Source organism: Homo sapiens, chromosome 15 (genome assembly GCF_000001405.40).
Source record: "Homo sapiens chromosome 15, GRCh38.p14 Primary Assembly".
In the NCBI taxonomy this organism is placed as follows: domain Eukaryota; kingdom Metazoa; phylum Chordata; class Mammalia; order Primates; family Hominidae; genus Homo; species Homo sapiens.
In genome coordinates this window covers 87,571,691-87,595,007 of record NC_000015.10, presented here as the reverse complement: position 1 = coordinate 87,595,007, position 23,317 = coordinate 87,571,691, and the positions used below count along the sequence as shown (strand labels likewise).

Here is a 23,317-nt window from a genome sequence, read left to right as displayed (position 1 = left end):
CTTGTCCCTAGCCTTTTTTTGTTTCTTCTGTGCCATGAGGAAATACCCCTAAGGCCCCAGAATTAAAGAGGCAGGGAGGATGAGCAGGAAGGTATGGTCAGGGGACACAGCTCATGCAAGGAGGGTTCCAGCCCTCAATGGAAGGCTTTTTGGTCTCCCAGAGAAAGGGGATAACTTAAGATAAGCAGCTCAGTATGGTTAAGCATAAGGCACATGCTTTCCCACCTCTCAAAGTACAGATGGCCAAGAGGGATTTCCAGTTTTCTGGCAAGACCTGGTAACACCTTATCCGATCCTCCTGGAGGCAGGGAAGTAAAAGGTAGGGAAAACTTTGGCATATGTCCAGTGGAAGTCATGTACAGGGGAAAGCACAGTTAGAAGAGTCCATGCATGTGTGTTTACAGGAAATGATCATTTTCTCACTGTGAAGGAAACATACAAATAGTACCTCCTACCTAGGGTCTGTCTGTAAACTTTCTTCACCTTTATCTACTACTCATTCATTCAAGTCATTCGATCATTTGACAAACTATTTTCATCTCAGGTCTTCTGTATGAGCCCTGCTCTAAGTCCCTCCACATTATTGGCTTCTTTTACATGCCTGCTGTTCCTTATATAAGTCCTGATTATAGTACTCATGACCTGGTACTCTATTGATTGATAATTTACATGCCTGCCTGATTCTTTGGGCTGTGAAACCCTGAATACTACAGAAGTCATCTTTTATTCTGTATTTCAAGCACCTGGCCATGCCTGGCATCTAATAGGTTTGTCACTCAGTTGAGTTGAATAAATATTCATTTTGAAAGTCCCTTAGATACCACAGCTTGTGAGTGTTAGGGTAAAATTGCTTTCACAGTTTATTCCTAAATTCATTGGTTAGATCAGCACACACCTTTAAGGGGCAGGTCCCAGGATTCATCTCTTTCTTTTTTTTATTTACTTTTAATTTTTTTAAATATATATATTTGTTACTATACTTTAAGTTCTAGGGTACATGTGCACAACGTGCAGGTTTGTTACATATGTATACATGTGCCATGTTGGTGTGCTGCACCCATTAACTCGTCATTTACATTAGGTATATCTCCTAATGCTATCCCTCCCCCCTCCCCCCACCCCACAACAGGCCCTGGTGTGTGATGTTCCCCTTCCTGTGTCCAAGTGTTCTCATTGTTCAATTCCCACCTGTGAGTGAGAACATGTGGTGTTTGTTTTTTTGTCCTTGTGATAGTTTGCTGAGAATGATGGTTTCCAGCTTCATCCATGTCCCTACAAAGGACATGCACTCATCATTTTTTATGGCTGCATAGTATTCCATGGTGTATATGTGCCACATTTTCTTAATCCAGTCTATCATTGTTGGACATTTAGGTTGGTTCCAAGTTTTTGCTATTGTGAGTAGTGCTGCAATAAACATACATGTGCATGTGTCTTCATAGCAGCATGTTTTATAATCCTCTGGGTATATACCCAGTAATGGGATGGCTGGGTCCAATGGTATTTCTAGTTCTAGATCCCTGAGGAATCGCCACACTGTCTTCCACAATGGTTGAACTAGTTTACACTCCCACCAACAGTGTAAAAGTGTTCCTATTTCTCCACAACCTCTCCAGCACCTGTTGTTTCTTGACTTTCTAATGATCGCCATTCTATCTGGTGTGAGATGATATCTCAAAAGAAGACATTTGTGCAGCCAACAGATGCATGAAAAAAATGCTCATCATCACTGGCCATCAGAGAAATGCAAATCACCTCTTTCTTGATAGTCTCTGGAAGGGTCTCAAGTTGTCACTCTTGCGCCTGCCCGCGTGGCTTCCTCCTTGTCCACTGCCTCTGCTTTGTTGCTGCAGGCTAGCAGTGAAAGCCCAAGTTTCAGGTAGATGCAGATGACAGCAGGAGAGGGGAGGAAGAAGCAGAGTGCTAACTATCCCTGCTTGTTCTCTTTCACTCTTCCCACCATCTTCTTCCCTTTCACTGTTGCCAGTGGGGTGGAGGCTCGGGTCTTCAGTGGGCCCTGTCAGTACCAGGAAGCCAGGAGGAAGTAAAGTGAGACTAGCCCTGCCTTGCACCACCTTGGCCTGTTCTGTTGGTGCTAGATGAGGGTGAAGGCACAGCTCAACTCACTAATGCCCAGGGTAAAGAGGGCATGGAGCCCTGACTTGAATTGTCATGTTCAGTCTTATAGGTAGGTGGATCCCATTGATTCTACACTGGTGTGGGAATTAGTGTGCCTTTGTCTGTTTATATGGGGTCAGGGATGGGAGTGGAATAGAAGCTCAGCTCCTCTTGGTCCTGTCGACGGACTGTAGTTTTTTTATTGGAGTGTGGCTTGAGCAGGGCAGGTACTGCCATAATGGTTTTCTGTGATTAGATGACCCTTTTTCTGATCCTTTGGCTGAGGGAAACAGGATTTTCTTGAAGCTTTTTTGTCTGTGTCTGTGAATGGCTCTGACTTGGAGGGTTCTGCAGTGCCCTGTACAGGGTATAGGAGAGGCAAAGAAGACACCCAGGGAACTCACCACCTTGTTGCTCCTCAGGTCGAGAGCATTAGGCAGTCTGCCTTATTCTGTGCCCCTTAATGGTTTTCTGGTTGTAAGAGAGAGGCAATGGGGAAATGGAAATACTTCTTGGCCAGAACTAGTACTCATCCTAATGTCTAACAAATAAATGTAACAACTTGAAATTATGGCTCAACCTTGCAAACTACTATAAGCAATGTGAGCAAAGACTATCAGTCCAATTTCCTTGCAGTTCTAATTGTCGTGGGTCCACTGTCCTAGCATCCTACAAGATCTGGCCTCCTTGAGGGCAGATTCTGTGTTTTACTTATCTCTGGATTCTCCTGTCTAGCACTGTGCTGGGGAGGCCCAAGCCATTGGTTTTGAATGAATAAAAACAAAGCCTCCTTTAGCCACACTAGAAAAGGCTGCGTGTTAGCTACATTTCCTGATGTGCTTTTCCAGTCGAGAATCTAGATCGATTCTAACCTTCTTTGGTCCCCAGTGGATGTGCTACCTGGAGGCAAACAGGATATGCAGCTTCCTGCAGGTGACTGGGGACCCTGAAGCTGGCACACTCCGTAGGTGGCTCCAGGCTGCTGCATAGCATTGCATCCTGCCACACAGTCCTCCAAGTCCTTCAGGGGTGTGGTGTGGTTAACTCAGCAGGCAGAACAGCCTGACCCAACCCATCTGGTTATTATCCATATGAGGACAATTGGAGCCTCTTCTAATATCAGTGGCCATAGGGGGCCTGGAAGGCAATTTGCAGGTGGTGGGCCCCTGGCTGTAGTGTCACAGTTGTTGACAATAGACGCCACCAGGGGGTTGCCTTTCTAGGAGAGAGGAGGCAGAGAAGGAGAGAACCCAAGACAGTGATGGAGAGACAGGAAGGCAGAGAATGATAGGCCATGACAGAAAGACAGAGCAAGGAGGAAAGAGACAGAAGATGTTTTTCTTTCATCTTACCTTTTCTCCAGTGGGCTCTCTAGACCGCTCTGGGTGCTTTTGTCCTTCTCAGCATGAAATATATTTGGCTGCCCAGGAATAAAACATCAAAACCTACCATATAATTAGTTGTAGGAAATATTGATGGAACACCAGGAGCATTCTAGATGCTGTTGTGAGCCAAGGGAGGAGCCACTCTCCTATCCAGAGGGGCTGCTGCTATACTGGGCAGGGACGGGCTGTAGGGAGCAAGGGCCAGTTACATGCAGGCTAATACTTCTGAGACCTGAGTGACAGTATTTACTCCACTACTACTTGAGTCAGTGAGGCTATTATTAGCATTAAATAGGCAACATTAGAGGGGAAGAATGGAAACCACAGAAGGCCTGGTTTCAGCTGGTGGTGGGACACTAGTCAGGTGTAATAAAAACAAATTGTCTTAGAATTAGTAAGAAATGATAAGTTATTTTTGACTGTGATCCTTGGGACTCTGGGCTGTCACTCATAACACTGAATATCTTTCTCTCCAGGAAACAAGCACCTCCTCTTACTGCTTCTGCCTGCTGTGCTCTGAGCCTAGCCCTTGAAAAAGACACACATCCCCCCTCCAGTACCTTCTTCTTCTCTTTCTGCTGCTGTCTGCAAACTCACACCCAGGCAACTCCTTCTTACTATTCTTCACACAATTCTCCAAACTTCAGGAAACAGCATGTGACTCTGTGCTGTCTGAGATCATTTCCTAAATATTTTATGTACACTGAAAAGCATTCAAGGGTGGATGCATGTTTGAAAGGTTTTGTGTGCCTCGCAGTGCCTGCGCCAGTGCTAGGCACACTGGGTGCTCCATGAATGAGGGCCAAGTCCTGGCTTCTGCTCTGTCCTCATCCTCATGTCTCATTTCCATCCTGCAGTAGCTGTACATTGTCTGCCTTTCGTAGTGCTGGTTTGGCTTACATTTCTAGAAGGACAGTGGCAGGAAATTAAAACCTGTCACCCATCACTGCAACTTGTGGCATGTCCTTGATAAACACAGTCACAGTGGCACACAGTTTTCCTAAGCAGGAGAGGTGAGAGCAGCCTGCAGACATCAGGATGCCTCTGAGACTTTCTGGCAGAATGAAAATGCAGGACCATTACGGCAGCTGGCTACATGCTGGCAATTTCGGACCTGGAGAGCCTCTCCTCCAGAGGAGACACCCTCTTTTTGAGGAGCAAGGTGCTTTCTGTTTATAATGAAGCTCACTTTATTATTAATAATAACAAGCAGTGGTAGCATAACTATTCGTGGTTATTACCAGGGTAGGCAATGCTTATGGAGCACTTAATTATTTCCAAGGTACTGGGCTCCCCTTTTTACTTTCCCAGCTTTATTAAGGTATAACTGATGGGTTAATTTATTTATATTCAGTCTCTTAGATTTTCCTCACTACAGATCTATGAGTTGCTAGTTCCACTGCATGGATGATGAAATAAAGGCTCAGAAGATTTAGGCTATTTACACAAAGAGACACTGGAGAGAAGAGTGTGGCCATGAGCAAACCTGAAATTATGCCCTTCTGGTACTCATATATTTGAGAACACTGGTGCCCCAGGTGAAGTTGGGGTGGTTCAGGGTGGTTGAGTTGATGCTGGGGGAATGTTCTCAGGGGAGGCTCATTCCAAGGATAGCAGTACCCTCTGGAGCCTCAGGAAAGCAGATCATCGCCTATGATAGTACCCAGATGAAATATAGCATAAAATAATAGGGAGTGTACTTACTTATACTGCATGCTAGCTTTTTGCTGTTGTCATTTTTAGCATATATTATCTTGGTAAACAGAATGCACAATTTTGTGAAGAGGTATAATTTTTCTCCACATCACAATCAGAGAAAACTAGATTTGATGAAACTATACAATGCATCTGAGGCCAGGCTGCTAGAAACAGCAGAGCCACTCCTAGACTCTATATCCAGTGCTCACCTCTGGCCCTGCTGGGAAAGCCAGGCCTAAACACCCCTGTGCTGGAAGCTCTTTACGATTCTCTGACTCCCACAAGAAAAAAATTCCTAAGGGTCATTGCTCTGGCTTCCACTCAGCCCTCTGGTGTCCTTGTCTCCAGCTTCATTTCCTGTTTTTCCTTTAATTTCCTCCAGGAGAAGTGCTGTTAGAAGCATTGTCTGGGTCTCTTTGCTTCCTTCTCCCTGGTTTTGCAACAGAGTCACCCCCATGTGATGTGGCTCACCATCTCCGTGCTCAGGAACCTCTAACTCCTCCCACCTGTCAGTAGGAGGAGAGGAGGTAGGGAGGACCAGGGAGAATGATGGCTCGTGTTTTCTCAGAGCAATGCTGGCAGGCCTTGTGAGGGAGTCAAGGACAGTGCATTTTAGCTGGTTGTGTTACTTCTGGAATAAACCAATGAGCCAACATTGGAATGAGATGGGTTGTGTATTATCCAAGCCTAGGACACATATTTCAGGCCACATCGTGTATCCTTATAGGCCAAAGCCATCCCAGGGCAGCCCAGACCATACTTGGCAAATTGGGTCATGTCTTGTGATGACTGAGTATAAGACAGAGACTCAGTATCATACAATTTGACAAATATTTGCTGAGTGCCTGATCTGTACCTGGTCCTGTGCTAGGTACTTGGTTGAGGGGCTAGAGATGAGTGGAGTCTCTGAAGCCAAAGGAATTATGATTTATTTCCTGACTTCTTCTCTGAAAAAGTAGAAAATGAGAACACTATACCATATTCCAGAAGTACATAGCAGAACATTCATAGAGAAATTCATCTTCCCAATAAGATGATTTCCACACTGGCCACCAAATGAAGTTCCTATGAGAAGAGCTGGATTGAATCACTGGAAAATACTAAAACATGTGCACAAATATGTACACATACGTGCATACACATAGACACATGTAGACTACACATGTGCATACCCACACTTAAAATGCATGTGTATAGACATGTATGCAAGTGCACACCTACATAGAATACACATATATGACATACATGTACACGCATGTGCACATGTACGCATACATACAAACATATAGGCACATGCAGTCGTGTCCACATAGGTACATGCATTTAAATGCATGCACATACACACACCCATACAAACACAATGCCACAGAGTGTTTCTCTTTATGCCCCCATAGAACAGGTTGCTACATGACAAGAAACTAGCACAACTCCAGTATATGTTGGGCACGTGATAAGTATTTGTTGAATACTTATAAATGAGTAAAACCTAGGAGATGATGCATTGGAAGGAATACTAATAAGTAAGTGCACTTTTGTTTGGAATACACGTGATGGTGGTTGATATAGGTCATTCCTCCAGACAGATCAATTGAAGTGTTAATGATACATTTTTTTCGCAACTTTGATGAAAAATTGGCAACTGTGAGGAATAAATCCTTAGTTGGTGTTTCAGAATGTACATGACTGGATCTCTATATACTTTTGTGTTCTAATACATATCTGAGGGAGATATTTTTCCTCTTTGTGAGCTTTGGTGGGCACATGCCGTTCTAATCTCTTCTTAATGTTACAATTGTGACATGGGCCTGGAGAAAGAATCAGGTGACCAAAAATGGGTTATTATGAGAAGAGGCAGCAAAAAACCACAATGAATGATCATATGCCCACAAAACATAAGCATGCATGTGCACGTGTGTGCACTCACACACACATATACACAAACCTTTCTTAGCAGGGAGCTGGTTTTGGAGAGGTGCTTCTTATATTCATGAGTACTTACTATGCATTCTAGATGCCAAACCTTTAAACCTCATAGCATCCATGCCAATAGGCATTATTAACATTATTTTATAGGCGAGGAGAGAGAGACTCAGAGAGGATAATACCCTTTCCCAAATCACACAGCTAATTAAGTATCAGAGCAGGAATTGCAGTCTAGGCCCTCCTGTTCTCCTCTGTCATGCTGACTCTCAGGCAGGAGATACTACTTGACTAGTCTTTGTTTCATATGTTTCAGAGGTAGCATTTCCTTTGTACCTTCTGGGCACCACCCCTATCTTTTGGTAGGTATGGTTATGTGGGTACTCACTTACCATCTCCCAGGGGCCTCATCTGAGGAATCTCTGCATTTTGCCTCCTTTTTTTTTTTTTTTTTTTTTTTTTGAGACAGAGTCTCACTCTGTCTCCCAGACTGGATAGCAATGGCACAATCTTGGCTAGCTGCAACCTCCACCTCCCAGGTTCAAGTGATTCTTCTGCCTCAGCCTCCCAAGTAGCTGGAATGACAGGCATCTGCCACCACGCCTGGGTAATTTTTGTATTTTTAGTAGAGACGGGGTTTCACCATATTGGCCAGGCTGGTCTCAAACTCCTGACATCAGGTGATCCACCCACCTCGGCCTCCAAAAGTGCTGGGATTACAGGTGCTCGCCACCATGCCTGGGTAATTTTTGTATTTTTAGTAGAGACGTGGTTTCACCATATTGGCCAGGCTGTCTTGAAGTCTGCCTCCATTCATTACTCAGAACCTGGTACAGGTTTCTGTAGGGGTGTCCAATAAGCATTTTAAATGAATGAATCAATCAATGGAAAGATTTAGGGTAAAATATGAGTGCAGTTCCCTTAAATTGGTTTGATGAGGTGAATTATTTTCCTGGAAACTCCATATTTGAATGAAAGTCTTAGAACAGAAGACAATGAGGTGCTTAGTTGAAGATGGGCACCAGGAAAAGCTGGAGGTTGGCTTAAATGGTATTTAGAGTGAAACAGGATGGGATTTAATGTAGAAAAATGGTCTCACATAAATGTGGTAATTATAGGTTCTGCTCTCTCTCCACATTGGAGAACATTTGGGCACTTTCATAATTTTCTTGCTTCCAAAATAGTAACAGGTGCCTTCTTGCTGCTGGGAGCACTGAGGAAAAATGACAGTAAGGTCTCTTCAGTGTTCCAAGAAAGACCGAGAAAGACCCTGGAGAAGTACAAGATGTGACTATTATCATAACACTACTATGATAGCTATTAGCATTAGCAAAATTCCCCATTAGCAGTGCCTGTTTGAATTCAAAAGCTTATTGAGAGACCATGGTCTAAATGTCATTATGTACAAAGGACACATGTCAGTCAACAAGCAACCTCAAATGAAAAGGATCACTCATGGTTTTAGAGCTCATAGCTAAGTGATCTGTGGAAGGAACACATTAATCAGGTAATATTTTAGCTAGATATAATTTACCAAATAATGATGCTAATTATTTACAGGCAACTTTCAAAGAACCCCAATAGCCTGTCCTAACTGTGGTAGTTGGGGAAATTTACTGTTCTCTCTATTGCTTTGAATATATTAATTATTGTTAGCAATCAAGATTTTTTTTAACAGAGAGATTTTTCTTGTAACAGTTGGTTTAAACAGAATTTTTATCTGTACAACAGATTGAAAGGATACAAAATGTTAGAAGCAAAATGATGCTAATATCGGGCATCTGGTGCCCCCACTACATGGTGCAGCACTTCACGCATCATCTCTAATCCATACAATGATAGGAGCTGCCATTATCCACCTTTCACAGATCAGACAACTGCAGCCTGGAAAAGCTGAGTGCTTTAATTAAAGTCACATAGCTTGAGTGGGATGGAGCTGGAATGAAAACCCAAGAGTATCCAAATCTAAACAAAATACTCTCCCTCTTACCCCTTGAGAATGGTGCCAAACAGTAAAGGTCTCTTGCAGGTGGTAAGTGTGAAGCCCTCCTCCTCACTTCCATTTTTAAGAAGTCAGTACCATGGCTTAGCAGGATTTGAGGATACGTTGACATCCTGTTCACAGACTGTCTCAAAGGTCTGGAGGGCCCCACAGATCAATGCAATCAGCTCTATCCTGAGGAACTCACCAATCCTAGATGGGGAGGTAGAGAAGTACCCTAGACATACAATCCCACTTCTTTGAGAGGCCCTACAGTCAGAGTGCCTCAGGGAACTAAGGGAAATGAAGAAATAGACTGGAACTGAGATGTCAAAGAAGGCTTCTAGAGCAGGTGACACTCATACAAATCAAAAAGATGAGTAGGGTTAGGAGGGCCACCAAGTTGGGAAGGGGTCCTCAGGCATAGGAGGTATCACGTGCACCATGCTGAGGTGCCAGAGCACTTGGCACATTGCAGAATTACAACAGAGCTTGATGGAGCTGCTGCAGATGTGCATGGGAGAGCAGAAGGGCATGACAAATAAGGGATACCTTGAGAGGCCAGAGAGACAGGCACCAGAACATGGCACCCTCGAATTCGATGAGAAGCTGCTTGATTTCCTTCTGTAGGAGAGGAGGATTCAGATTTCACACGGCTCTTTCCCCTCACACACGTACCTCTCACTATATGCAAATTAATACAGGTATTGCCAAATAGCCTTTCTTTTTAAAGCTTTCTTACTCTGGCATAATAACTATAAAGAAGGCTTGCATGCAGGAGGAGCAAATTGATTTGGGAGCCATGTGCCTGTCTGCCTGAGCCTGGAAAGCAAGCCTTCTTTCCTCTAAATGATACACCTTTGCCAAAAGCTGTCTGCTGACAGCTCTGACAGTCCCTCTGTCACCATGATGGCATTTCAGGTGTGGGGAGTGAGCAATGAGAGGGACCAGCACCCAAGACAGAAACACACACACACCCAGGGAAGGTAAATGACTGTACACAGGACATTTATCTCTGAGGTTGTTCCCCCAGCAAAACCAATTACTGGCCTTTTCTTTGGAAACGTGCGCCGAGTATCAACTTGTTGGGGGCTGGAGTGAAAAGATGCTAGGATGCGTCTTTGTGATATTCATGAGTCTGCCGAGAGTTCCAAAGCAAAGAATTTAGTATTTCTGGGCTTCAGCAGGTGGGGAGGGTGCAAAGCACATTTTAAAAGAGCTCTAAGAAATGGGGTGTTGAAGTGGCACTTTTATAAAATACACACTTAGGAATTGGAGGCAGAAGTCAAGAGTCATTCTGGGGGAGAAGGGAGAACTGATCACATGAATATAAGACCTGATAAAGGGCAAATTCACTGTCCTCTAGGGAAAACTGCAGGAGGTCTTTTTGCTGAGCTCACATGCAGGTGAGGGAAGGCTACCCGTCACCTTCCATATTAATTGGGACACAGAGCCAGCTGTTGTCCTAAGGAGTTATAGGACCCATGTCAAGCTCTTGCAGAAAAAAAAAAATGTTACCCAAAAGTATATTCATTGTTAAGAACCGTTACCGAACTGAGCCAATAACAGGGAGACTAGGATGCTTATGTAGGCAGAGGTGACACTGTGGCTTCTGTTGCCTTGTCATTTTGAGTTTTTTTCCATCCCCAGGCCTGTCCAGAGTGACAGGAATCTGTTATCAGTGATATGGACTTGCCCTCCATTCACCACCACCATCTCCCTCAGGGTTCTCTGTGCAGATATCTCCTTCCATCCCTTTAGGGCTGCTGAACTTGGTTATGCAATTTCTTTGCTGCATGGAGGTATCAGCCAAAGAGACCCCATATCCACAAGGTATTGCACTTGCCCAGAGGACCTGCTTTTTCCTGATATGCTCACAGAAGCTCTAAAGTCTGGCGCCCTGCCTTTGCTTTTCCCCTTGCTTCTTCCGTATTCACAGGGGTAAGCAGGATAACTGGACGGGGGCACAGAAGATCTGGAACACACTGAGATCCTTGCTCTGCTTCCTAAGGGTTCCTAAGGGAACCAACCACAACTCTTGGGGAATAAAATCAGACTCCTCTTTTACACACAGATATCCAAGCAATTCTTTTATTGTCCCTTTGATTGAAATGGACTCGTCCCCTCTAGGAATCAAGGGGGATATACCAAACTCACATTTCTTTAAGGAGCAAACAGTAGAGCAAATCAGCAGAACCTCAAAATTGTGTGAGAACTGATAGGGTTCTCAGGGGGCTGTCTCTCCTGGAAGTTGTAGTCTAGAAGCTGGCAAGCATACTTATCCAACACTCAGAGTATTTACTTTTTATTTACTCATCTATTTGTTTTTATAAGGCAGTTCTCCTAAACAAGATGTGACTTTTCCCCAGGCTTCACTTCCCCACGCTATATTAGGTGCACTTTGAACATTTGCATTACTAGCCAGATTCCTGGAAACATTTTAACGTGGGTCCCTTGTCTTTGTTCACTTCCCAGGTTTTACAGATAGAGAAACTAAAGTTTAGTGAGGGAAGGTGTTGCACCAAGTACACATAGCCCCATCATTGGAAAGGGTTAAATGTTGAACTGGTTTTTTGACTTCTTTGTTCAGCACTATTTCCTTCTCTTAGAGATGCTTTCTGAGTCTTGAGATGACCACCGAGTTTTTAATAAGTGGTCTGAGAGGGTACAATTTGATCTTGACCTTAACTATCTTCATGGTTTCACTGAACCCTAACAGGCTGCATGCCTTCTCTTTCTTGCAAAGTAGAAGGGGCAGGGAGTAGACACCTCAGCTTCTTTCTTATCACCTGAAGGTCCAGGGAAATGCACAATTGGAATGAGTCATGAGTGTTATTTATATCAATGGTGCCTCCTTTTCTCTGAATGCATCTCCTACTGGCCTCAGCCCAGTGTTCCCTGTTGTGCCTCTACCTCCCCTAATCTGTCTGGCCTAATCAGCTTCCGGCAGGATTCTTTTTGTCTCCTGATCTTGCCCTGCCATAGTCTGTTGAGCAGCCGGTGTCTTTTCCTGAATGATCCGATTCCCAGAGGTAGCATTCTTGGGGTTCATGCACTGCTTTCAGCTTCTGCTTCCTTTTGGCAACCTGTTGTTCTTTTCCCATGGCTGTCTAGATCTAGTTTGTCTCTTTGCATTGCTTGAGTATCTCCTGAGTGCCAGACACCAAACAGGTGCATTGCCTATGTTTTAGTTTTTAAATTCCAAAATAACCTCATCAGGCTAAGGGCTACATCCAAAAAAAAAAAAAAACCCCTCCAATTTTAGGGCCTTAATAAATATTTATTGCTCTCTCATGCAGTGTGCAATGCATATGTACCAGGGTGGCACTCCTGGGCACCTTTCAAATGGTGACTCAGGGATCCATCCCTCTTCAGTCTTGGGACACCATCTCCCTTGGTACCACATGACCTCCAAGATTGCCAAAGAAGAAGAGAGTATGTGGAACACATACAGATGCTCTTGCATTTTGGCCTGGAAGTTAGCCACATCACTTCTACTTATATTCCACTTGCGAGAACCAGTCACGTGATGCCATCTAGATGCAAGGCAGGCTGGGAAATGTAGTCCCTGGCATAGAAGTTACTTCTCAGCAATAATTCTGCACTGGAAAGGGGCATAGATCCTTCAGAGTCCACTCATTGTCTCTGCCTTTAGTTGCACATGAGAAAACGGGCCCAGGGAAGTTGCCTAAGGCCACATATCTTATAAATAACAAAGTTAGCATTGGAACATTGGGGAGAAGATTGTCAAGCATACTAACCTAATATGACAACTTCCCTGAGGCCTTTGGATTTCCTAGTTTCATAATTCCCAGGAAAATGTGATTAAGGCTAGGGACTCTCAAGCCAGATTGTCATGATTTGAAGCTTGGTGCTGCCACTTATGAGCTGCACAATAGTGGGCAAATTACTTTCCCTTTCTTAGCCCAGTTTTCTCCTTTATAAAATAGACACAATAATAGTATCTATATCAAATGCTGCTTGTGAGAATTCAATGAATATCTTGCACATAACTTAGATTGCTGCTTGGTGCATAGACAGTGCTGTGTGTTACCTGTTGCTGTTTTTGCTGTGATTTACTCTCCCACATTGGGTTAATCTGCCTCAGCACTGAAGTCCCCATTCTTCCACCTTATACTCATTCTTGATGCATGTTAGCTTAGCTGCATCCACTACTGTGTTTCACCCACCCCTACAACACAGCTTCCTCTTTTCTCCTTGAGCTCTAGGCCACTAGAATAAGTCTCTCTCCCTCTCATCAAGAATATTTATAGTATTTAACCAAATAAGCAATCATTTTTTTTCCTCTGAAAGTAAGTGGTATCTTGAGCTACAGTAATCTCACCTTCTTGGTGGTCTTACTCTGGCTTCAGCCCAACAAATATTTCTTCACTGTATCTCCCCTGAATTAATTGTACAGTATTATTATATGATCTGCATATATTTTATTCTGAAAATGGCTGGGTTTTAAGAGTAATAAGATCAATGTACTCTTTATGGAAACTGTAAAATACTTAAGAGATTCAGGCATACCTGAGGACAGATAGAATAAGCAACTCCAATTTGTACCAAGGAATTCAGGTTAATAAAAGGAAAAGACTCCTTTTGACCTTTCCTTGAGAAGCTGTTTATGAGAATAACATTCAGCAGGCACTTAATTTGCTGCCGTCACCTTGCTTGGGTAGAAAAAGACCTAATGTTGAACTTTTAAATGTTAAAGGGGTCATTCATAATTAACTCACATGCTAGGAATGTTTCATGTGAATGCTACATGGTTCCAATGTCACTGACCTGCACCCCCATGTCTGCATATTCCAAGGAACACAATGGCCCAGCCACAAAATAGATACCATGGGGCCATGCCATAACCTTTTCTTTAGACCATGCTTTCCTTCACCATGGGTCACAGCATGATATCCATTGTGGGCCCACAACACTAGGCCATTGTGGACTGTGCATGCAGCCCACTTCTTAAATTCCGAGGCCATCCCTGAGTGACATTGGAGCCTCTCCCCAAATTCAAGGATGCATGAGCACCCCATGTCCAGTACCTACTAAAAAATCTAAAATCCAAAGTTGGGGCTCTCATTCCAGTGCTCTTTCTCCTGTTCCAAATTTTCTTCCTTATTATGCAGTTCTAGTGCTAATTTATTTTGCCTTTGTGCACGTATATATGTGTTTCTCTAGCTATGTGCCTAAGGGTGGAATCACTGTATCATCAGGGCCTCCATACCTTCAGCATTAGGAGATACTGACAAAATGTTTTCAAAAGTGATTTTACTAATTTCTGTTTCCATCAGCAGTGTATGAGAATTTCTCTTGTTCCATAACTGTGTCCCACTTAATGTTAATGAATTATTATTTTTTTGTCATCCAATGAATGTACAAAGCTGTTTTATTGTAGCTTTTTCATTTTCTAATCTTTATTTTTTTAATTGGCCACTGGAGTTTCTCTTTTTGTGAGAGTCCTGATCCACTGGTAGTCAGTTTTCTATTAGTTTTCTGTCTTTATGTTGATTTATTGGCTATTCTTTTTTTTTCCTTTTTTTGAGATGGAGTCTTGCTCTGTTGCCCAGGCTGGAATGCAATGGCACGATCTCGGCTCACTGCAACCTCCGCCTCCTGGGTTCAAGTGATTCTCCTGCCTTAGCCTCTCAAGTAGCTGGGATTACAGGCACCTGCTACCACGCCCAGCTAATTTTTTGTATTTTTAGTGGAGACGGGGTTTCTCCATGTTGGCCAGGCTGGTCTCAAACTCCTGACCTCGTGATTCATCCACCTTGGCCTCCCAAAGTGCTGGGATTACAGGCGTGAGCCAGCACGCCCAGCCTATTGGCTATTCTTTATATATTCTGGATGCTAGTTCTTTACTGATGATGTATGTTGCAAAATAGTATTTTGTGTTTTCATTCTTTCTCTGGTGTCTTTTTTTGGTAAAAACTTTATTGAGATATAATTCATGTGCCATACGATTCACCCGTTTACATTGTACAATTCCGTGATTTTTTGTATACCCATAGACGTGATCGTCACCACAATCAATTTAAAAGATTTTATTGCCCTAAAAAGAAACTGGTACTCTTTGTGAGTCACTCCCCATTTGCCTCGAACAATCCCCATCCCTCCCCCCGCCAGCTCTAGACAACCACCAATCTGATTTCTGTCTCTACAGATTTGCTTAGTTTGGACATTTTATACAAATGGAATCATACAGTATGTGGCCTTGTATAATAACTGGTTTATTTCACTTAACACAACGTTTCAAAGTTCATTCGTGTTGTAGCATGCATCTGTGCTTCATTAGTTTTGATTGCCAAATAGTATTGCATTGTAACTCTGGTATCTTTTAATTAAAGAGAGGTTTAAAATTGTAACCTTTTAAATAAAATGGCTCAAAATAGATAGGAAAATGAATGCCTGAGAAAGTTCTTCTGAGTCTTAGAGTGTCCATATCTTTGACTTCCTCTGGGGCATACTAAAGTGAGGACAGGGCAAGAACTTGAAGATGTGCCATTTAAAAATGAAAACTCCATCTTCACGGTTTGGGCTTGGAACCCTGTGCTAATGAGAAAATCCCTGCAGATTTCAGATATGCCAAGCTCATCTTGAGTATGACAAGGAGGACAGTTGCTTATGTTGTGCACTGAAGAAAAAAATGAGAAAATGAAATAAGATGGCAAGGCATTTACCTTAGCAAAAAATGTACAGGCTTCCTTTTAACTTTCTTCAGAAAAGAATATTTGAAGATGCAGATAGTGAAAAAGGAAAAAGATCCACTGCTTCAGAAATGTCAACAACTACCAGTAATCCTTAGTCAGAGATAAAAATCTCTTAAAGAGGCGTAGGAGGGGAGCCCCTCATGCCTGTTCTGTCCATGGCATAGTCTTCTCACCTGTTAAAGTTTGAGTCATAAACCCCCGCCCCCACTATCACTTCTCAGTCTATTTGACCAAATCCAAACCTATTTCCTCCCACTTCCAAATCACTGCCTGCCATTCAAACCCGTGTAGGCGAACTCCAGTTGGCATTTGGTTTTGAATTAATACATATTAGTGGGTGGTAATACATTTCTACCAGTGCATATATTTACTTGAAATACAATTTTCCATCTAATGCATTTTATTCACATCACTGCATGGTAACTGCATCCAGAATAATATCTTTAATGATTATTCATTACTGGAATAATGTATCGGTGCCAAACAGTAGCTTTTAAGTGGCTTCAGATTTTTTTCTTTAAATTGAACATGTTATTATTACACAGATAGAATAATCCCATTATCCCTACTAACTGAAGATGACAGCTTTCCAGGAGGCTCTTTGACAAAGCTGAATTCAGGTGGGAACCAGGCCTTCCTCTGACTAGGGATGGGGTGGAGGTGGGAGGTGGTTAGGTAGCTGGTCTTGGGGAAGGTGCTGCTTTGAATGTGAAGACACATGTGGGATGAACAGATGGAGCAGAAAGCTCGTGTGCATGTGAGGTATAGTTCAGAGTAAAGTGAGTGTGCTGTTTAAAACAAAAAGTGAAGGTAAGGACAGACGTGTCTTTTGAAAGCTGTGAATGAGTGTGTGTGTGTGTGAGAGAGAAACATGGGAAGGATGAGAGAGAGAGAGAGACATAAACAGACACACACAGAGAGATATGGAGTAAAAGAGACACACACAGAGATATGGAGTAAAAGAGACACACAGATTGAGAGAGAGAGAGAGGGAGGGAGACTGAGATTTTTCTGTAATAGCAAAAAAATATGCAAAAAATCTTCTGGGATTGCAGAATGATGTAGCAAAGCATCACAATTCATGGAGAAACTTCAGGATGAATTGTTATGATCTGTGGGAAGGCAGGATTATGTCTTAGAACATGAGGCAGGAGGAATCACTTATTGAATGACATTTCTATTGTGTAACTCTTTTATTTATTTTTTTTCTAAATGACAGTTATTATCCCCATTTTCTCAGATTAGGAAACTGAGGCTCAGAGAAATCAGATTTAATTGCCCACAGTCATCTACCTAGTAAGTGCTAGAAAGACAATTTGATTCCAAATCCATGTAATTATAAATCCTGTGTTACTTTCACTGGATTCAGAATGAGGAGTGGTTAAGACTATTAGCTGCTAAAATCCTAGTTTTATCACTTACGTTTGCAGACTGTAGGGCTTTGGGCCAATTTCTTGATTTGATGGTTGCCATTCTTCTACAGGAATGTTGTAAGGATTCAGTGAGAAAGAGCACATGGAAAGTCTCAGATCATAAAGAATTGTTCAGTTATTGCAAATATGTTCTTTATTTCCCCCCCACCCCATGACCTCTGAAACCAGAGAGGAGCATGCCCTGCACCACCCATGAAACTTTGTGAAACCTTGCCTCCTCTGCCTCCTCCAGTCCCTGGATCCACAGTCCTTGCCTCAGGCGGGCTTAGAGCTGAACTAGATCTGCAGCCTTTCTTTGTGCCTAGTGTTCATCACCCATCAGCACTTTGGAGGTCATAGTCTGAGGGTTTCTACTAAACCTCAGAGAAGCAACCTAGATCATCTTCATTGTTTCATAGTCGTTTTCACGTTAGGCTTTCCTGGGAAAGGCTTAAAAAATGAGGGCACCAAGGGCTCATTCAAAGAGATGAAACCGTAAGGTACTGATATTTTTAAATATCACCTGTCATTCTAATATTCTACTAGGGCTGATCACTATTGGTCTTTGATTTAGGATTTAGTTTATAGATGGGAAGATCAGCAAAGCAAACCTTGAAGGCTAATGGACAGTGAGGGTAAAAAGCTGTCTTCATTTTCTGTTGCCTAACACTCTGTTACAGAGTATCTAAAACTGGGCAATATATAAAGAACAACATTTATGTCTTACCATTCTGGAGGCTGAGAAGTCCAAGGTCGAAGGTTCACCTCAGGTGAGACCTTCCTGCTGGGGACTCTCTGCAGAGTTCCAAGGTGTTGCAGGGCAATCGCATGGTGAGAGAGCTGAGTGGCCTGACTCAAATCTCTCTTCCTCTTCCTAGAAAGTCACCAACCTCACACTCATGATGAACCACTAATTCATTAATCTATGAATCTATTAATGAGAGCAGAACCCTCATTGACACAATTACCTCTTAAAGGCTCCATTTCTTGATGCTGACACACTGAGGATTAAATTTCAGAATGAGTTTTAGAGGGGACACATATTCAAATTATAGGTGAAACTGGGTGGAGCCCAATAGAAAGCCTTTGTCCAGATGGTCTGAAGTCTCTGATCCAGGTGTCTCCAATGTGAGAAGCCAGAACAGAAGCTAGATTGCCACAACCAGGTGCCGGGCCAGGTGCTGAGAACTGAGGAAGAGTTATTAATTTTCCAGTGCTGCCAAGAAAGAACCCAAGACATTGCACATGCAGTTTTCTTTCCTCTTTCTGACTTAGCTTTTTCTTTTTCTACTATTTCCTATATAGATTAAAAAATTTGGTGTGTAAATAACTATACAGGAAAATGGGCTTTTTTAGTGTATATTCCAAAAATTTTAACACATGTATAGATTTGGGTAACCACCTCCACAGTCAGAATATAGTTCCATCACCTCAAAAAAATTTCTTTGTGCTATCCCCTTGTACTCGCACACTCCCCCAAACCCAGCCCCAGGCAACCACTGGTATGTTCTCCGTCACTGTAGTTGTGTTTGTTCGAGGATGTCATATAAATGTGATCACAATGTCTATAATCTTTTGAGACTGAATTTTTACATTCAGTCTTTGAGGGTCATCCAAGTATGAATGATTTGTTCCCTTTTATTGCTAAGTAGTATTCCATTGCAGGAATGCATAGCATTTGTTTAACCATTCATTCACTGAAGGGCATTTGGATGGTTTCCAATTTGGGGTGCTTATGAATAGAGCTTCTATAGATATCTGGCACAAGATTCTTTTGTGTGTATGAATACAAGCTTTTTCTTTTCTCTAGAGTCATATGGTAATTGTGTGTTTTACTTTATAAGAAACAGATAAACTGATTTTCAGACTGACTATACTATTTTTCATTCACAGCAGCAAGGTATGAGAATTCTAGTTGCTCCATATCCTCCCCAGATCTTGATATTTTATTTTTATATTAACAATTCTAGTAGGTATGCAGGGGCATCTTGTAATTTTAATTGGCATTTTCCTTATGGTTAAAGATGTAGAAAATATTTTTATGTCCTTATGTCATCCTTAAGTAATCTTTGAAGCAGTCCGTGTTTGTCTTTTACCCATTAAAAAATGTGCACTGAGTTTTCAGAGTTCTTTATGTATTCTAGTTACAAGCTCTTTGTCCAATACACAATTTGCAAATATTTGCTGCAAGTCTGTGGTTTTTCTTCTAATTATCTTAACACTGTCTTTCACAGAGCAGGATTTGAAAAATTTTGATAATAACTATTTTTTCTTTAACAGATTGTGCTTTTTGTGTCATATCTAAGAACTCTTTGCCTAACCTCAGGTCATGAAGGTTTCCCTTGTGTTTCCTCTGAAAGTTTTATACATTTATGTTTTGTTTTTTGATGAATGATCTATTTAAGGCATGAAGTTTAGGTTGAAGGGCATTTAAAAAAGACCTTTTTGCATACAGTGTGCAACTGTTGCAGTTCATTTGTTGAAAAACAAATCAACAAAGAAGAAACTATTATCTCTCTATTGAAATCCTTTTGCATCTTTGCCAAAAATAAATTAGTTATATTTGCATAGATATATTCCTATATTCTCTATTCCATTCCATTGGTCTGGATGCCTATCCCTTTGCCGATACCATACTCGCTTGATTACTGTAGCTTTACATTACGTCTTAAAATTGGATGATATAATTTCTCCAACTTTATTCTTTTTTTCAAAATTGTTTTAGCTATAGTAGATTTTTGCCTTCCATGTAAATTTTCTTCTCTATATCCACAAAGATATTTTGCTAGAATTTTGACAGAGATTGCATTAAACCTATAGATTAATTTGCAAAGAATTAGCATATTTACTATTTTGAGTTTTCCAGTCAGTGAACATGGCATAACTCTCCATTCATTTAGATTTTCTTTGATTTTTCTCAGCAGTGTTTTGTCATTTTTATGATATGGATCTTGTATATGTCTTGTTTCATTTTTTCTGGAATATTGTAGAAAACGTTTTATTTTCTGAAACTATTTTTTTTTAAGTTTTGGTTTCCAATTCTATATTGCCGGTATACAGGATCATGATTGATTTTTGTTTGCTGACCCTGTAACCTGTGACCTTAATAAACTCACTTATTAGTTTTGAGAGATTTTTTTGAGATCCCTTTGAATTTTCTGCATTGGCAAATGTCAGATTAAAATAGGGACAGTTTTATTCATTCCTTTCCAATCTGTATGCATTTTATTTTATTTTATTTTATTTTATTTTTGCCATATTGCATTGGCTACAAATGTTACTACTGTGTTGAATAGGAGCAGTGAATTTAGAAATTCTTTTCTTTTCCTAAATCTTAGAAAGTATTTTGTCTTTCACCGTTAAGTATGAAGAGTTATAAGTTTTGTGTAAATATATTTTACTGGGTTGAGGAAGTTTCCTTCTATTGCTAATTTGGTTAGAGATTTTTTCATGAGTGAACATTGAATTTTATCAACAATGTTATGCTTTTTCAGCATCAAATGATATGATCATGTGGCTTATATTTTTTAAAGTATTCAGATGGTGGATTACATTGATGGGTTTTAGAATACTGATTTAGCCTTGCATTCCTGAGATGAACTCTATGTCGTTGTGATGTATTACACACACTCTGTCTCTCAGAGGTAGGTAGGTAGGTAGTTAGATATTGCTCTCTATATATCTATCTATAGAGAGCGCTATCTATATATATCTATATGTAGATTATATATAGATATGTCTTTATAGATATCTCTACAGATATATATCTCTCTGTAGATAGGTATCTCTATAGAGACAGACCTATATATACACATGCACACACATATATATATAGAGAGAGAGATCTATCTATCTATTTGGACTTGTCCTTTCAGTTTTTAACAAGATCTCCAAGTGAGTCTAATGCACAGAACTCTTGGACTACATGGACATGCTTTGGTTTCTCAATTTCTCTTCATCATTTGGAATTTCTAAAGCTTGAACACTGATGACAGGAGAGTATGACATCATCACAAGTCTCAGACAGTAGCAGCCACCTCATGCAGCCAGACAGATAGACCCATAACACATATCCATCTTCATCACTCAGAAGGTTCAGCCTCATTTATCATGGCAGCTACAATAGTCCAGCCTCCTGGGAGGGAGGGACTGACACCACCTTGGTGTTTTTAACAATCTGGAAGCGTTGGCTGCTGGAATCACATGATATTATTTGAAAGGAAAGAAATGTGTCTCTTGGAAAGAAAATGAAAACAAATAAATAAATACACAGACAAGTACAGATTGTAATTAGTTAGTAGCAAAATAATTAGTGACAAAACTGCCTCCAGGCAGGAGCTGGAGCAAACCTCTTCATTCCTATGGTGAGGCACTGACCCCACTAAATGCTTATTATTCATAGTTTTCCCGGAGCCTCATTGATACTGTACTGCCAAGACCTCAGGGACCTGCTATTGCGATTTCCCCACAATTTACAGGGAGAATGGAGCCCAGTTGCTTGGGAGATTAATTAACTTGTCAAACAATTAAGCAGACAGGCTGTAATCGAGGTTTCCATTTCATAATTGATTTATCGCTTTGTAGCTTCTTGAGTCCCAGGGCTCATAATGGAGGGACTGCTGTGCAGGGAAAACCTTTCAGAGAATGCCAGGAGGCTGTGGGGAGGGCAGGAGGTAAGGCCCTCCTGGTCCTGCGTGGGTGGTGTGCTCCGGCCTGGCCTCTGACCAGCCTTCAGACTTAGTGAGAATTTCATTTTCTGTCTTCCAGTGCCACTGGCCAGATAATTCCCTTTATGTCCTCAGAGCCTTGCCCAGTCCAGTATTGTTTAGTAAGTAAAGACCCAAAGGAGTGTCTATGAGAACACATCTACAGTTCCAAGGCCACCCTCCCCTTGATGAAATGACTAAGGAAACGTCACTCATTATTAATATATCCTGAGACTGTGGCTCCAGTTAGCCTTCACTGTATATTTAAGGAGATATCACACGTCCTTTCTGGAAGGCTGTGCCTCCTGATACCATTGGCTCACGATTGTGATATGCAGCGGTGTTCAAGCTTTAGTATGCATCAGTGTCACCGGGGAGCTTGTCAACCAAGTGAGTCTCCAGCGCCACCCTAAAGTGTCTGCCTTAGGAATTCTGGGGTAGGGCTTTGGAATCTGCCTGCTGAACAGAACACATTCCCCAGGCGATTCTCTTGTAGACAGGCTTCATATTTAGATTAAATTCCCAACTTGCAGACATTGTTTGGGGTCTTTGCTACCCAGTGTCCCGTAGCAGAGGCTGGAAGACAATCAGCAAATATTTTATGTCTCTGGCTATTTACCATGCAGTTGCATACCAGTCTGAAGGCCCTGGAATCTGGGTGTGGTTTGGGTTGATTTCTTTAGGGATGCTTCAGTTAGCCTGGATCAAAAGTCAGGAGAAAAAGTTTCTTCTGCTTTTTTGGATTTCTGTCTTAGTGCTTTTGGACAGGTTTGTGGTCTGTGTGTGTGTGTGTGTGTGTGTGTGTGTGCGCACGTGCACGTGCGCGCATGCGAGCACATATAACACACACTCACATGGATGCATTTTGATTGCATTTACATGCATTGCTCAATTATGCAGTTGCATTATTTCCCTAAATCTTATAAATCATTTTTCAGACAAGATATTCAATAAATACTCCTTTTTGCCCCAATTTGCCCTCATTCACACCACTCCCCTAGCCCTCCTTCCCAATTATGTCCCTAACATCCTGAAGCAAAGGTGCTCTATCATCAGCTCTCTGAAATTTTACAAGGAATCACCAATCTCGACCACAAGCTTCAGTAATAAGCTTAGAAAAGTAGGGTTCATGGAGGTAACTTTTGCTACCTACAGTCTGTTTCCAATTAAGAAGCTTGAACCATGTTCAGAGTTTGAAAGAATTACTTTCTATACCACATGTCAAGGATAAGTTTCATTTATTCATTTGCCTAATTTTTCAAATAAAGCATGGCAGGTGCGACAGAAGCCTTCTCTTCTCCACTTTCGTTCTCCTCTCCCTCTCCCCAGCAGCAACCATTACCTTGAAGCTGATGTGCAGTATATTTGGGTTAGTCAT

The 23,317-nt window shown here is 41.7% G+C and overlaps 3 long non-coding RNA genes across 3 annotated transcripts in view; 1 reads left to right on the top strand and 2 right to left on the bottom strand.

Moving 5' to 3' along the window:
* Positions 1 to 23,317, top strand: part of LOC102724465 (uncharacterized) — a 379,687-nt gene that overhangs the window by 108,848 nt on the left and 247,522 nt on the right. The window lies entirely within an intron of this gene.
* Positions 837 to 4,133, bottom strand: LOC124903579 (uncharacterized). The gene is made up of 2 exons (XR_007064794.1): positions 4,064 to 4,133; positions 837 to 3,538 (listed from the first exon to the last, which is right to left on the bottom strand). It is a non-coding gene; the product is annotated as an uncharacterized LOC124903579 (long non-coding RNA).
* LINC00052 (long intergenic non-protein coding RNA 52) lies at positions 15,322 to 18,079 on the bottom strand. Its single transcript, NR_026869.1, has 3 exons — positions 17,961 to 18,079; positions 17,244 to 17,298; positions 15,322 to 16,933 (listed from the first exon to the last, which is right to left on the bottom strand). It is a non-coding gene; the product is annotated as a long intergenic non-protein coding RNA 52 (long non-coding RNA).